Genomic DNA, 17,231 nt, shown 5'->3' on the forward strand with positions numbered 1-17,231 from the left:
TTCCCTTGTTCTGGAGTGCGATATTTAATGCCCATATTGCTCTAGTAAGATGGGGTACCACCCCATTAGCAGACTTTCTAGATGTCCTTTCTAGATGTTGCTGTGTGAGTCCATTGTTCTAGCATTCACTAGATTCATTGGCCTGTGGATGCAGGGTGCATGGAAAGTTCATCGTGTTCCATGAGAGTGTGCCTATTGTCATGTTGCTTGGGCAGTGAAAGATGCTCCTTGGTCAGTGTGAAGTGTCATTGGGTATCCAAAAATATGATGTAAGTTCCTTTCAAGGGTGACCTTGGTAGTCCCGGCATCCAATTGAGCATCGTATCTCTTTTTCCTGCAGGTGGAAAGCTGTGGCCATAGTCCTTTCCTCCACACCAGGGATTCTTTAAAAGTCCAGTCTCTCAGTTGCCATTTTCCTGAACAGATGTTGAGGCTGTTGGCAATGGCCCATGATTTAGTGGGAATGTGGCATGGTACGATGTTGGAACAGCCTGCATGGCCATTACCACTGAATGTAGTTTGACCCACTGGGTTGAAATCCCATGCTAAGTTTCAGTTAAAAAAGTGGCCATCCATTGGCTGAATGGTGGCCACACCTGGTGGACCTGTCAGTTTGCGTTTTCCTCAGCCATCAGTGACTCCTGCTATATGGAAATCTCTGAATCTTGGGCTCGACATGGGTAAATGAAAATCCAAATTATCACCTACAAGTCATTTGGTCCCTTCAACAACCTCTCCATTTGTTCATGGAGCCACAGATCCTGTGGGGTCCTGACTAAGCCTGATCAAGAATGTGCCATTTCCATTTGATAACCTGACTCTGTTGAGATTGTTACTGCCTTGAAAGCCAGGCAGGCGCTTCTCAACTCTGTGATTCTTCCCAGGAAATACGTGAGAACTTCCATCTGGGTTCATATCTCAAACACAACCCACCAGTCTCTCACTTGCTGCCCTCTGCTCAAAATCTTCACATTGTAATTTTTCATGGGGTAAAAAGTTAGCTTATATATTATCTTGTATTCATTCAAATTCTGTTTAAATAACATACATATGTTCCTTTATTCTTTCGAACTTTGTCCTTATTTTTGAAACCCAGCTTTGGAGTTCAGAAAGCTACTTTTGTACTTCAATATGCTGTGAGTGAGACTGTGCAAACACTTTAGCAACTAGGTCTTTATTTTTGCATACATTTGCCACAACATATCTAGTAATTAAAAAATCTAGACTGTGAAGAGTTTTATTTGGCTTCTCCCTGAAAAAAGTAGGATAAAATACAGTGCTTGCTGCTGTTCTGGTCAAGGGTCGGCCTTACAAAAAGTGGAGGGGGGAGGTGGAGGAGGGGAGGGAAACTGATTTAATATCACCAGATCTTATCAATGTACATGTACTCTGGTAACTGCTAAACCAAATCAAAAGAATGTGTTAGTTTTGTGTTGCCAGTAATCAGTCTCAATTAGGTGCCTGTTATGCAGAATGAATTTAGTTGATGAATGAACATAGGGAAGGAAGAGAGGATTAGAATGAGCTCTCATTGAGCCTTCTCTTCTCTTGTGTCTCATTGCTCAGAGGGCACGTGGACCTCCTCCATACTGCAGACTCTGTCATGCAAAGGCTGCTGCAGCTGACGGGACCTTAAAATGTGGTGCCTGAGGTGTAGCCAAGAAATTTATGGTCATGAGCCCTCAGCTGCACCAAGTCCTCTGAGTTCTCCAACATCTTGGTCTTTAGGCATCTAAGAGAATCCACAGTGCCTGCTCTCCACAGAAACAGCACATCTGGGCAGCTAGGCCACAGCAAGTGGGGGGGTTTGTGTTCAAGACTATACCATTGTGGGAGGATAATGTGTACTTTGCTGGCAGCAATAAACCCCAACATCCTCAGCATCCATCCTCCTGATTTCAGCATGAAATCTGTCCCCAACCCACTGCCACTGAACCTGTCTGGGACTCCAGGGTCGTGATTGGAAACCAAATAGATTGGGAGCCAAGGAGGCTGGCCTGTCTTCTGTAGGTACCAGTTGAAATAGATGTATCCATTACTGTGAAGGGGGCTGTGACTAGACCTGCAGGAGATGGAGGCTGGCTCTCCAGGGGTGATGGGCAGGGAGAGTGGAGGTTGGGTCATCACAGCATCTCCATTGGATCATGAAATAATGAGAGAGAAGTGCAAGGTTATGTGCAAACATTGTGAGTCATTTTAATCATTTTCTGTCTGTTATTTATGTTTTGCTCAATTATTTTTGTGTGTGTGATTTTGATTAATCCTCCCAAAACATACAGATTTAAAAAGAACCAATATTTACATATCCTTGCTCCTTCTGGAATCTTCCTCACTCTCACAGATCTAGACATCACATGCCCCATCCTGGAGGACAAGACACATCTAACACGAGGACAGGACACACATGGGAGGTGGCGGGGTCCACAGAGTTCACCCTCCCACCCCATCATCCTCCCTCATTTCCCTTCTGCCCTTACCAGGGACCCAGAGCATTAGCAGCCCCAGGAGCTGAGCAGGGAGCCTCACTGTGAGAAGGTGAACTGAGGAGTCCTGATCAGTCAAGGCAAGGTTAGAGTGAGCTTTCGTCTCAGACTCACAAGGAAAGTCCTCCCTAGGGGACAGTATGCAAATCCCCTGGTGGGTGCAGTGGGGTGGAAAGAGCCAAGGAGAAGGTGGGGGCGTCTCTTGTGAGCAAAATGACATAAATATATTTTATGTTTTTAAGGAAATCAATAGAGGTAAAATCTGTGTTGCCTGAGTGGCAGAAGGGACGTATTTAGATTTTCCTGCTGTTTCCTCTACTAGACTTCTAGTTCTTTAGGACTTTCTCGGGCATGTTTTATGTTTCTTTTTAATAAGCTTGATCTTTCATAAATATTTGATGATTCTTATTTCTTTGTTTAGGTTTATTTAAAAGAGTCTAGGTTTGTTTATTTTATTTTATTTTATTTTATTTTATTTTATTTTATTTTATCTAAGGTAAAACACACAGTGCAAAGGGTGCAACTCTTAAGGGTGCAAATGAATGTCAAGATCCAGATCATTTCATATCATGATCCACATAGAAACGCAGAAGGTTTCCAATTCTCTCGCTGCTTTCATTATGCACCTTCCCAGTCAAAAACTGCTGCTCAAAACACAATCAATGTAAATGATATTCTGACATATAATTGTTTTAGTCCTGGACTTAATCTTTATATCAGGTAAAGTAAACATTTTTTGTAGCTTCTTTCTAACTTTTTTCATTTTTTGAGGCCTTGGTTCCTTCTTGTCAATTTGAGTTGCTGTCTGCTGTCATTCTCTGTTATTCTGAAGAATTTTCTCTTGAATCTCTTACAAGGCATATATGCTATTAATGAATTAATCTTTGTGTATGAAGGAATATTTCTACCTTGCTTTTATATTTAAACGATTGTTTTTCTGGATATAGAATTTGTGGCTGAGAATTTGTGGCTCAGTATTTAAAAATATCATTCCACTGTCTTCTCACCTCCATTTGTAATGGTGAAAATTTAGCCAATGATTTTAATATTGCTTCTTAGTATAAAGTAAGTCGGTATTTTAGTGATGCATTTCAAATTCTCTGGGTCTTTGTCTTTCAACACTGGTACTATAATGTGTATAGTTATGAATTGTACTGTGCTTATCCTAAAAGGGTTTCACTGAGTTTCTTTCATGTATAGATTAAGGTGTCTCATCACTGTAAAAAATGTTTTTCATTATTTCTCCATTTTTTTCTTTTTCAATTTTTATTTTAAAATCAGAGCATACATGTACAGATATGTTACAAAGTTATTTTGCATGATGCTGGGATTTGGGGTATGACTGAACTTATTAAACAGGTAGTGAGCACTGTACCCCATAGGTATTTTTTCAGCCTCTGCCCTTCCTCCCTTTGTCTCCCCTCTAGTAGTTCCCAGTGTCTATTGTGCCCATCAACCGTGGATTGGATAAAAAAAAAAACTGTGTATAGATACACCATGGAATCCTATGCAGCCATAAATAAGAAGAAAATCATGGTCCTGCAGAAACTTGGATGCAGCTGGAGGTCATTTACCTAAGTGAACTAATGCAGAAACAAAAAACCAAATACCACGTGTTCTCACTTATAAGCGGGAGCTAAACATGGGGTACACATGGGCGTAAAGATGAGAACACAGTTTTTAGCCTCTTCCTGTCTTCTCCTTTGTGATTCCTAATACAAATTTGTTGGTATTGTTCACAGGGACCTATAATGTCTGAGGTTTTATTCATTCTTCTTTATAATTTTTCCCTTCTTTATATGAGGTCATTTCTATTGACTTCTTTTTCAGATCACTGACTCTCGCGTCATGTTAAATTGCTGTTGAGTCTATCTAATACATTTTTCAATTGAGTTGTACCTTTCATTTTTCGGATTCCCAGTAGGTCTGTTTTCATAGTTTTGTCTCTGTTTGAGAGCCTCTATTTGTTGAATCATTGTCTTTACAAATTCCTTTTTAAGTCTTTTATTATAGGTTAAAATAATTATTTGAACATATATTTGATAAGGGTGGAGCACACAGACACCATGGAGATGGACCATAAGGCAGGGAGCTCAGAATTGGATTAGTTGAATTTGGAGTCTCTGACTAGATGGTGCTCTTGTGAGATTTAATTATTTTCCATGTTTCATGTTTCTCACAATACAAATAGCTTTTATTTTTTAAGATGGTAACTATGAACAGAAATTCAGCTTATAAATTCCTGGGAATTCCTAATAGGAAAATTGATGAAAAAATGGTTTTTCTTAGGCCCCCACACCTGCCTCTGCCTGGGACCTGACTTTGTCTCTGAGCCGGCGGAATCTATGATGAGGTTTTGAGTTGGGCAGTGAAATCATGGCAGGGCAGGCTGTGCTCTGGGTGCTGTGGAGGACAAGGGGACACTCCTGCAGGGTTAGTGATGCTGGGAGTTCAAGGGGAGACTCAGCATGGAGCTGCCTGTTGAGTCACCCCAGCAATCCTGTCTGGACAGTGATCATCTCACAAGTGTACTTGGATGCCAGTGGATGGCCCAAATGTGGGTTCAGGTTGGACAAGGACAAAGCTTTAGGGATGAACATATGGGGCTCATTTGATAGTCTGAAGTTTCAGCACAAGCGTAATGAATCATATGGGAAAAGAAAGGAGTCACAAGGTTGTGACTTTTCATTTGATATTAAAATATATTCCCTCTGCTCATTTTTCCCTACAGAATGTAACTACTGTTACATATTTAACCAAAGTCATTGTTTTTAATTTTCATTTTAGTAACTGACAGCCTGTGTGCAGAGTTCCTAAATAACTGGAAAGCCAGGCCGTCATTCCTATGGCTGAAGCCAGGAAGTGACTGTGGATATGAAGAAATGTGAGTTTCATGTACATGTCTCTAAAGCCACGGGCCACTGATCTGGTGGGAACCTGCAGTCATTTCACTTTCTCATACCCAGATGAGAGGACACCTTGATCTGTGTTCATCTGATGATCTGATGAACTCTAAAAACTGGACCATATTCTGAAGGTCTAGTTCACACTTCTTTTCTGTGCTAGAGGGACTCTACTCACATGTATTGTACACTCTGCATAGGACAGTCTGTGATACATACAAGTTTTTTTCTGCTAAATACTCATCAATCTTGTCATTTATGCATCTTCTATAGTTGTTACCTGACCTATGGCTATGGGGTCTTCCAAAAGAATGGGCCAGAGGTGGAGCTGTGAAACTGTAGCTGAATAAGAAGTGTAAGTGTCAAGATAGGGTAAAGAAGTGTTGATAATAATAATATTTCAAATTAGTCTGGGCTCTTGGCTGTGATTACTGGTAAGTGGGAAAGAGTCTAGGTTTGTTTTTTTTAAGTTTTATTTTAATTGATAAAGTAGCCAGGGTAAAGTGCACAAATCTTCAATGTGCAACTGAATAAAGTTTATGTGTAATTCATTGTCCAGGTGGAATGATAGAATATTTCACATACTCTTGTGCTTCCCTCATGGACAATCTTTGTCAGTTTTCGCCCCTCCCACCCAGCCATAGTAACTGTTATTCTGACATCTAACACAATCACTTAGGTTTTCCTGTCTTGAACTTCACATAAATAGCATTAAGTGTATTTTTCTCTTTTTAGCCTTGGTATTGCTCCTTACAATGTTTGAGGCCTTCATTTCTTCCAGTGGACTCAAGGTCCTGTCTGATGTCATTTCCTGGGATTCTGAAGGATTTTCTCTCAAATGTCTTATAAGACATAGCTGCTATGAATGAATGTACTTTTTTATCAAAGAAAATTTTTTTTTGCTTTTTCTTTAGATGTGAAGGTATTTTCACTGGATATAGAATTCCTAGTGACTTTTTTCTCCTTTCAGCATCTAAGTATGTCATTTCACTGCTTCTAATCTCTATTGGTCCTAATGAAAACTTAGCCAATAACAATATGTTGTTTCTGTGTATTGGTTGGGAGATGATGTTTGACAGTGATCAGTTTGTGAAGCAGAGGCTTGTGTCACAATACTTTCCACAGTACTACATTTAAAAATGGCGAATGGCCTTTCATTCTTGATGCAGTGAAGATTTTCTGTCTTTCAACATTTTAATATAATGTGTTCAGTTATTAATTTCTATTATCTAAAAGGGTTTTATTGAATTTTTTCATCTAAGAATATTTTTTATTACTTTTGAAAAGTTTTTGTCATTATTTCTCCAAGGATTTTTTTTTCAGCCACTTTCTCTGTCTCTCCTCCTTTGTGACTCTCATTATACTTTTGTTGGTATCCTTCACTCTGAGCTATAAATCTCTGACGTCTTCCTCCTTTTTTTTAAACATTTTATTTAGACTCAATAAGTTCTATTCCTTTATTTTCAAGTTAACTGATTATTCTGCCATCTCAAATTGCTATTAGACCTAGCTAATACGTATTTAAATTGGATTATTTTACTTTTCATTTCTAGAGTTCCAATTTGGTCATTTTTTATATTTTCCATATCTTTTCTTGAGGCCCTACTTGCCAAATCTTCTTAATATTTTCTTTTTTATGTCAATGATCATAGTTTTAAAAATAATTATTTGAAAATCTTTGTAGTCTTTACTAAATCCGATAATTACGGCAAGTTAGAATCAGCTTTCGTTGACTATTTTCTGTTGTCATTATTGTAGTTGCTTTATTTTTGTTCCTTTAATATTGGTCATTCTTCTAGTTTTTTTCCCAGGAGCTGTTAAACTGACAATTTTACATTTTTGATAATACAGTACCTCTCTTTAGATTATGGGTTTTTTAATTTTAATTTTAATTTTTTAGAAATAGGGTCTTACTCTTTCACCCAGGCTGGAGTATGGTGGTGTGATCATAGCTTGCTGCAGCCTCAACCTCTTGGGGTCCAGTGGTTCTCCAGCTTCATCCACCTGAGTAGCTGGGACTATAGGGGCATGCCATTACTCTCTGCTATTTTTTTTTTTTTAAATAGTAAGATATTTTGCCCACCCAGCCTGGTCTCGAACTCCTGGCATCCAGTGATCCTTCTGCCTCAGCCTCCCAAAGTACTGGGATTACAGGCTTGAGCCACCACGTCAGGCCTGGAATTTGTTTTGTTTTTCTGATCATTTTTTAATTTTCTTCTTAGTTACTTGGGTGAACTTACTGATAGTACCTGACTTATGATGCTTGGAGTTATAACTTTTTGACTTTCAGATGGTATGAATGTGATATGCATTCAAGTAGAAATAGAAATTCTAGTATTTATACAACTATTCTATTTTCTCTTTCAATATAGTATTCAATAAATGACATGAGGCATTCAACACTTTATTGGAAGATAAGCTTTGTGTAAGATAATGTCGCCCAAGTGTAAGCTAATGTAAGTGTTTTCAGCACATTTAGGATAGGATAGGCTGAGCTATAATGTTAAGTGGATTAGATGTATTAAATGCATGTTCATTGCATGATATTGAAAAATCTATCTCACGTGGTGTTTGACCACTGATATCACTGCTTCCTTTTATTCTTAATATTAATATTTAGTTTGAATTTATAGGAACTGCACATGTATCTGCATAGTGAAGTGGTCACCAATGATTTGAGACGTTTTGCTTAAATATCTAGAGGTTATAAATCTATCTTCTGTCAACCCATCTGTGTGTAGTTTAAAAAGCAAACTGCATGCAAAATGCAGCTAGTTCTTGAATCCTTCTGGTTTTACTTTGCACCGGAAACTCCTTGTTCTCATCACTCATATCTATATCTTCTAGGTCACTAGGAATGTGTGCAGAGATTATTTCAGCAATATGGGTCTATCTCATCCAGGAATCTGCTATTTACTATCAGCAGATGTACTACTTGCCTCAAACAGGTCATCATCTTGGACTTGTAAAGCTGTGAGATTTTTCTGTTCATTTCCTATGGAGTTCTGCATGTTTAGCTGGAAACACTGAATAATTTTTTTTCCACTCCTTGGCTTTACTCAAGTCCACCCACTTTGGCAGCAAGCTGCTAGTTTTTTTTGCTACGCTCATATTGGTAAAACTTCAGTTCTGTAATTCATGCTGATTGAGCTGGGGGTAGAAGGCTGCTGTCACAGGCAAAAGGCTACAGACATTTTCTGTCCTTACTCAAAGCACTGGTACTTTTTTTTTCTATAAAGAATATGCATCCTTAATTATTTTATACTTCACCAATTTTCAGAGTGCTGAAATAGTTTTGATACTTCAGCTTTATATTTAAATGTGTGTTTGTTGTTTATTTTTGCACCGAAGATTTATTAAACTCTTTGTGATGCCATAAACAGAGATGCCTTCTAAAATGCATTTAGTTGAACATAATAGCCACGGTGAAATGGTACGATGCAATGGACTAACATAAGTAATTTTGGACTTGACAACTTGAACTCCAAAATGGCCAAATAGAGCTGAGATGCTAACACTGAGTGGCCACCCCACTAGCTGTCTGTAAAGGAAGCAGCTGGTATAATAATCTAGTAAACACTGATGGTCTTGTTGGGGTTTTTGTTTCATGTGGAATCACTGTGGGAGGCCAGTTGCTACGCTGCTGACAGTAATAAACTGCAAAATCTTCAGGCTCTAGGCTGCTGATGGTGAGAGTGAAGTCTGTCCCAGACCCACTGCCACTGAACCTGGCTGGGATGCCAGTGGCCCTGTTGGATGCATCATAGATGAGGAGCCTGGGAGCCTGGCCAGGTTTCTGTTGGTACCAGGCTAAGTAGCTGCTAACACTCTGACTGGCCCTGCAGGAGAGGGTGGCTCTTTCCCCTGGAGACAAAGACAGGGTGGCTGGAGACTGTGTCAACACAATTTCTCCGGTGGTATCTGAAATTGGAAATAAAACAGAAATGCACTCATGTAATCAAGATCAAACCAACTGTCTTTGAGTAGAGCCAAAATTGTTGATATACTTTGAATTTTAATTATATTTCTTGCTGAGCAGAGGTGGCAAGAGTTTTCACTAATGTGCAAAACCACCTCATGTTCCCCTCACCTGGGAGCCAGAGTAGCAGGAGGAAGAGAAGCTGAGCTGGGGCTTCCATGGTTCCCTCTGGGTCCTAACTGAGCAGTTCCTCCCCAGGGCTCTGACACAGGCATTGATATGGGCTCTGGAAGGTAGGGCAGCTGGGAGGGACATGCAAAGCAGCTGGGTGGGAGCTGAGCTTCCAGCTGCAGAGACCACCTGCTTCTTCCTCTCTGCACTGAGCATCCTGCGCCACCCTGGTTGTCAGGCCAGAAAAGTCTGTTGGCTCAGTCTGAGTGTAGAACTTCTCCCTTGTGCTCAGAGAATTTCATTCCTATGTCTTTCTTCTCCTCAATCACCTAAATTCACCCAGATGATGTTTGGCACAAGCCTGTTAAGAACAATATAAAAGGCTGTGTTTTCATTTCTCTCTTCCTATCCTCAATATGCCCAGTCATCTCCCTAAGTGCATTATTGGATCGATGGAAATGAGGAGTCTGTTAGAACTTAATCTTCCAGATACACCTTTCATTTGCTTGTTAGTAATGTTTTCTGAGGGTCCTGAAACTTTCCATTAACCCAGACACATACCCTCTTTGAGTTAAAAAGTTAAAACTTCTGTTTACAGTCACATGTCCTGGCAGCCCTGACATAGATGCTCCATGGCTTGCCGATTGCTTGAAATTGACCAACTAACTTAACTTCCCTGTGTCTCAGTTTCCATATCTGTGTAACTGTGACAATACTGGTGCCTACCTTACAGTGCTGTAGACAGTTTAAAGAAAATAAGATAAAACATTTACAGTAGTACTCAGGACATTATGTATGCGGCAATTATTTTTGTTTTTATTGATTAAATATTTAGCACTACAGTCATCATCATTATCATAAATATACTTACTTGGCACAGAAAAGAGTCTTCAATCTAATCCAAGAATGTTTTATCAACAGTCAAATTAAATTCTAGGGCTTTTTCTTCACTAACTGTACACAACTCTTAAAATCCTAATGATTTGGTCTTAATCTGTGCTAAAATGCTCAGACCTTCAATCATTCCCGCCCATCTCTGTCTAACGCATTAATTCTCATCATCCATTATCAAAATGTTATCCTATGAAAGTTTCCCATGTCCTGCTGCTTTCCTTCTTTCTTACATAATCTTTAGTCTACCTTGTTATCTTTTGTCTTATTTTTGCCCCAGGACTGACAATAAGGAAAAGCTACCATCATTACTTGTGGACTTGCTCCAGTATAATTTTGTCAGGCTTGTTATCTTGGAAGTGAGGACTATGTCTTGCAAAGAAACATATTCATTGGGTCAATGTGTTATCAAATAAAAGATTTTATCTACTTATCATCCAATAATTAATTTAGACTGACTTGAACAGATTTTTTTTAAGGACGAAAAGGAGAAGATGATATAAGAGGAAAATACAATACAATATCAAATGCTAGCTATTATGACTCTTGCTTCATGGATTTTTACATATATATTAGACACATGGTGGGTATATGTGTGCAATGATGATCCAAAAACTGAATGCTGACTGGCATAAGGAATGCCTGCATTACACTGAGTCTTGTCTACTTTTCCAATTATGAACAGAAAGCTGCAGTAGTATTTGTATGAGTATCAAAACTTCTAGCTGCCTGAGATAGAGGTAGAGCAGATTTACTGAAATAAAAGCCTTGGAAGTAGGAGAGGTTCGTCCTGTGATGATATGGCTGTTGCTCTGGTTGCTGTTGTTAGGAAATACAGTGGGAGTGAAAGCAAGTAGAAGATTGACAAGCTCTGCTCTTCCTCATACTCACAACCCCCTCTAGAGATGGACAGATGCTGGTACAGGAATCTCTGACACCTCTAAGGAAGTCTCTTTGCTTTTTCCAGAATCTTTCCTGACAAGTATTGTATGAGTCACAGATGAGGTGGAAGTGGGTGTAGAAGAAAGGACTAGAGCGAGGGAAGAAGTTTTCAGTCCCAGGTAGTTGTTGTTGCCACGGGGAAACTGAATTTTTCAAAGATTTGTGCCACACTTCTATCGTGTTGGGGAGAGAGGCATCAAACCAGGCTCACTCCTGAGAGAATCATTACATTATTTTAGAGAGAAGGAACTGTAAATTTCTTGTCAAATAGATGTTTAAAATTCAAAGCTATCGAGACCATCCCGGCTAACAAGGTGAAACACCGTCTCTACTAAAAATACAAAAAATTAGCTGGGCGTGCTGGCGGGCACCTGTAGTCCCAGCTACTTGGGAGGCTGAGGCAGGAGAATGGCATGAACCCGGGAGGCAGAGCTTGCAGTGAGCGAGATCGCGCCACTGCACTCCAGCCTGGGCGACAGAGCGAGACTCTGTCTCAAAAATAAATAAATAAATAAATAAATAAATAAATAAATATAAAAACATTCAAAGCTACTGATTTTGTTGTTGTTGTTGTTGAGATGGAGTCTTGCTCTGTCACCCAGGCTGGAGTGCAGTTGCATGATCTTGGCTCACTCCGTTTCCCAGGTTCAAGCGATTCTCCTCCCTCAGCCTCCCAAGCAGCTGGGATTACAGGTGTGTGCCATCACACCTGGCTAAATTTTGTATTTTTAGTAGGGACGGAGTTTTGCCGTGTTGGTCAGGCTGGTCTCGAATTCCTGACCTCTGGTGATCTGCGCGCCTCGGTCTCCCAAAGTTCTGGGATTGCAAACATGAGCCACTGCCCCGGCCCTACTGATGTATTACTATTATTCATCTTCTTGAATACAGCAAGTGGTAAGGTGCAAATCCACAATTTAAACTTGAGATTTCTACTCCTATGTGAATTATACCAGTGAGGAACAGAAAAATTCTGTATTGTTTGGGAGATGATGTTTGACAGTGATCAGTTTGTGAAGCAGAGGATTATGTCACAATACGTTCCACGGTATTACATATAAAAATAACGAATGGCCTTAAACCCAGAAGAGTCTGCATTTCTCATGAGCCATACTACCACCAAGAAAGAATTGAATTGAAACTCGTGACTACTTGATGAAGGGTGTATAGGAAGAGGGAAAGAAAAAGGACACAAAACATAATATTGTAAATGGAAATGAGAAAGTCATTACACAGCCTATTAGAGTAAAAAAAATAAAGAGAGGCTAAATGAGTAACTTTTTGGCAACTAACTTGACAAAAGTGGTGCAATCTTCACCTCCTGGGTTCAAGCAATTCTTGTGACTCAGCCTCCCAAGTAGCTGGGATTAGAGGCGTGTACCACCACTTATGGCCCTTTTTTTTTTGCATTTTTAGTAGAGACATGGTTTCACCATGTTGGCCAGGCTGGTCTTGAACTCCTGACCTCAAACGATCTGCCCACCTCAGCCTCCGAAAGTGCTGGGATTACAGGTGTGAGCCACTGTGCCCGGCCTTAAAGCAGTATTTTCATTTAGTAAAGTGTAGAAGAAAAAACATAAATAAAGTGACAACAAGAAAACAAAATGCCATTATGAAAAATGGTAACTTTAGGGCAGAAAACAAGAAAAGGCAAACCAAGATTCTCATAAGGTAAGCCTCCAATCCACAATCCTAGGAGGAATGTCAATGCTGAAAACCCTGGAGCATCCAGGGAGTGGCCAAAAATACTAAATGCTGAAAACCCAGAGTACCCGAGTATCAGCCTATGAGTGTCCCCACACCAAATGCCAGGAAACCCTGGAATATCCAGGGGCTGACCAGTGCAGAAAATCCTGGAGCCTCAGTTGGGTGGCCAACAGTGAGCCCCAAAGGCCTGATTGGGACCACAGAACAATGTGACTCTGGCTTCTTACGGCCAACAGAACAGGAGAATTCTTACATCCAAGTGTCCTGCCTTAAACAATTGCACAAACACAATTAGCAGGGAGCCAAAGCCAAAACTGCAAAGCAAACACATATATCAGGGCAGAAAATAAGATAAAATGGCTGATGGATAAATAAAATGGCATTAGAGGAGAAATGACTAAGAGAAGGACCAAGGAGGATGTAGTCAGGTGTGCTATGGAGGACTTCAAATGGACTATCGAGTCAAAGGCCTTATTCCCTGGATCATCCAATATAGGTCAGGTGGGCAGAGGGGACACTTACAGGTGTGCAGGAGCCAAAATGGTGCCAAGCAGTCTCTAACGTGGGGCCTGCGTGAAAATCTCTCCAGGCTCCCCAGCTTGGGTGGGTTGGGCTCCTACGGGGAACTGGAGCACGGAGCGGCTGGCCTGCATGAAGCAGTGGCTCTGTGGCCACTTGCCCATCCCCAGGGCTCCACCGCCTGTCAGGAAAGATGATGGCTCTTAAAACAGCCTTTGGCTAGTGTTAACAGCTCTGCAATGTTAGCAACTCTGTAGCTTTGATCGCTGTAGCACTGATCACCGTCTCACCCTCTCTCACTGATCTCTGTCTTCCCAATTCTCCAATAGCTGTCCTGCTCATTGCTGACCGCTATGTCCATCTTCTCACAAAATCCCATCTCTTGCTGTCTCTTGTTGTCTTGCTTTCTCTGCTGTTTCTGCTGTCTCACTGCCACATCAGACGCTGCCTCTCACCATCTCTAGAGTTGAGTGGCTGGCTTAATCCTGATGCAAGGCAAGTTCTTGGATTTGCTCGGGAAAGAACGTTAGAGTAAGCCGGTGATTGAATAAAACAGCTTTATTGATGGGGCAGCAGTGTTACAGCTCTGTGACTAAGCCTGTGGAGCAGGCATAATTCATAGGCAGAGGGCCAAGAGTAGCAGCCAGGTGCAGTTTTACAGTCACATTTATACCCACTTTTAATCATGTGATAATTAAGGGGTGGGTTATCGAGAAATAGCTCGAAAATGGGTCGTGTTGCCCCAACTTCCCGGTGTTGCCATGGCAGGGCAGCAATTTCCAGGTGTTGCCATGGCAAGGCGCTGCGACTTCTGGATGTTGCTATGGCAATGGTAAACTGTCATGGTACTGGTGGGTATGTCTTACGGAGAGGTGTTTTCAGAATCCTATTCCTGTTTTGGCCAGCCTCACATCTGGTCCAGAGTGAAGTGCTGCCTACCTCTTACCTCAAAAGTAACAAGAAATCTGTAATAACAAGTTACCCAGAAAAAACTCCAAATTTTATTTGGTGGTTAGTGACATGGTACTTATCAAAATTACACAAACTTTCAAGGGAATAAAAAAAATACTCAGAATTATTATAGGAGGTCATAATGTCCTCCAGTCCAAAAATTAATGAGGACATAACAAAAAAAGGATATTAAAGGCTGGTATCTCTTATGAACATAGACACAAAAATCATAAGAAAAAATAAAAATGGAATCCATCTGTGTATCTACACATTTAGTGAACACACGTTGTAAAAAGTGTTACAGTTTTTACGATAAGAACTCTTGATAGGTAATTTTAATTTCTGAAAAATTTATATGAACTATAAGGTATGTTGGATCTCTTTCCCTAACTTAAAAAATATTTCCTCGCATTTAAATATTTTCCAATTTTTAATAACTTTTTATTACTTAGACTTTTAGTTGATATAAATAAGAAATGTGTATTAAAAGCCTACCATTTTGATTTAACCTATGAAACACATTTAAATTCTTGGAAAAATCCAAAAATACCTAGAAAAGTGAGCTCTTGCTAGAAGATACACAGTTCTTTAGTGTCAGGCTGAGATTATCTACCAGAAATAACTTTTGGCTCATGTAGCTTTCAGTACACTGCAAGAATAAAAGATGTGAAGACAACATTACTTAATTGGATTTGCAATTACTCACTATTCACTATTAACCAATTTTATTGAAAAAAAATGATTCCAATCAAATACTCTGATTTTAAATGTACTGTTGAACAAGTACACTCGTGTAAATGCCTCCAAAATCAATACACACAACATTTCTATAACTCCAAAAAGTTTTGTCCTGCTCTTCAGGAATCAACTTGCTTTCCACCTCACAGAACAGACCATCCTTGGTCAGCTTATTGTTAGTATAGATTTCACTTTCTTTTTAAGAATTTTACATAAATGGAATATAGCACGTGTTCTTTTGTGGCTGGTGACTTTCATGCAGCATAATTGTTTCCTAGGCTCATTCATGTCGCCCTGTGTCCTCATGATGTGTTACTCTTCACTTTTGGGTACTATTTAACTGTGTAGTAATTTCACAATGTATCCCACCACCTGCTGATAGATATGTGGGTTGTTTCCACTTTGGGCTATTATGGATAAAGCTACCAAGAATGGTATTATACATGGCTTTGCATGAATATTTCTTTATTTCTTTTAGGCAAATACCCAGGAGTGCAGTTACTGGGTCTTACAGCAAGTGTTTAATACTCCACCAAACTGTTTTCCAAAGTAGTTGTACCATTTTACATCTCAGCCCAGAATTGATGAGTGTTCTCAATGTTTCAGCTACTTGTTTTTAAGAATTTTTCTTAATCTTCACTCAACAGTGACCAGAATGGCTAATCATCATTAAGTCATGTTTTCCTTACAATTCTCTTGACTTTTATGGGTGCTTGACTTGTATTAGGATATTGAAAACAGGATCAATATTGTCTAAACCCCCTTTCAAACACTTTTCCTAAGTCATGATATTTAGGATGATAAGAGGAGATCTAAAGGGACTGCTGGTAGTAGTAACAGGCATTATTCAATATTTATTATCATACTCCATAAGGCAATACATTTTGAGTGAAATAGCATTCAATTAGACTCAGGATAAAAAGCTTCTAATCTCAGCTTTAGCATTAAATATTAGGAAACCTTTGAGAAAACAATCCAGGAAGACAAATCAGAGTGTTTTGCTAGTGGAGAAGTGCTGCAACACCTAAACCCTATTAATGCCAGATCTTTGCAGTGATTTCCACTCATAAAGTTGGGTTGACTCCTTGCCTTGTTCTCCTATGTGTCTGTGTGACTTCATGCTGAGGGGATGTGACATCACAGAGGGAGAAGTGCACTTGTGTACAGAAACATGGCTTAGGAGATTGGCTTTGGAGGTGGCTGCAATGAAATATACGTTTTGAAGAAGTTCCCTATGAAATGTCTTATAAACTGTTTCTTCTGGCCAGGTGCTCGGGCTCACACCTGTAATCTCAGCACTTTCAGTGACCAAGGAGAAAGGATCAGGATCATGTAAGGCCAAGAATTTGATGCAAGCCTGGGCAACATAGGGAGACCCCATGTCTACAACACACACACACACACACACACACACACAATTTGTGAACAATGTCATCACAAAGTGATTATTTATGAACATTTGCTCAGAAAAGTAGAAAATAAAACAATGTCTTCTGAGCTAACAATACTATAATAAAGACGTTAGTTATTTAACTATAGTAAATACAGAGAATATAAGATTGTCTATCTTAACCATACTTGAGAGTGCAGAGAAGTGGCATTAAGTATATTCACATGTTCTGCCATTATTACTGACATAATCAGTAAAAATCTTTTCATCTTATAAAAATTAATATGTATACCCCTTAAACAATACTCCACCCATTTTCTCTATCCCTACCTCCAGCAACCTCCATTGCAGTTCTGTCTTTATGTCAATGACATGTTTGAAGCAACTTCGCTGTGCACTGGTTACCAACGTACTTGAGCGTGGGGGAAGAGAACACCCCCCACAGCAAGTTACATGAAGTGGGTTTATTATTACAGATAAGCAGCAAGGGAACACAAAATTCTTGGACTCATTATGGGTCAGTCCCCCAAGGCACAGGAAAGCTATGTGGAGCTGATGGAGTTGACTATGTGTACCCCACATACACCACAGTGCAGGAACTCAGGAAAGCAGCCACTCTG

The 17,231-nt window shown here is 39.8% G+C and overlaps 1 pseudogene, 1 gene segment (V, D, J or C) and 1 further gene, besides 4 other annotated features; 1 reads left to right on the forward strand and 2 right to left on the reverse strand.

The window, feature by feature from the left end:
• IGK (immunoglobulin kappa locus) overlaps positions 1-17,231 on the forward strand; it is a 1,378,008-nt gene that overhangs the window by 160,799 nt on the left and 1,199,978 nt on the right.
• Positions 1,833-2,526, reverse strand: IGKV2-10 (immunoglobulin kappa variable 2-10 (pseudogene); annotated as a pseudogene). Its single transcript is given in 2 exon segments — positions 1,833-2,144; positions 2,478-2,526. Coding segments are annotated over 2 exon segments (361 nt in total).
• Positions 2,134-2,144: a sequence feature (IGKV2-10 leader sequence).
• Positions 2,478-2,526: a sequence feature (IGKV2-10 leader sequence).
• Positions 9,012-9,525, reverse strand: IGKV3-11 (immunoglobulin kappa variable 3-11). The segment is given in 2 exon segments: positions 9,012-9,307; positions 9,477-9,525. Coding segments are annotated over 2 exon segments (345 nt in total), but the record flags the coding sequence as incomplete, so codon positions are not given.
• Positions 9,299-9,307: a sequence feature (IGKV3-11 leader sequence).
• Positions 9,477-9,525: a sequence feature (IGKV3-11 leader sequence).

This window comes from Homo sapiens, chromosome 2 (assembly GCF_000001405.40).
Source record: "Homo sapiens chromosome 2, GRCh38.p14 Primary Assembly".
NCBI classification, from domain to species: domain Eukaryota; kingdom Metazoa; phylum Chordata; class Mammalia; order Primates; family Hominidae; genus Homo; species Homo sapiens.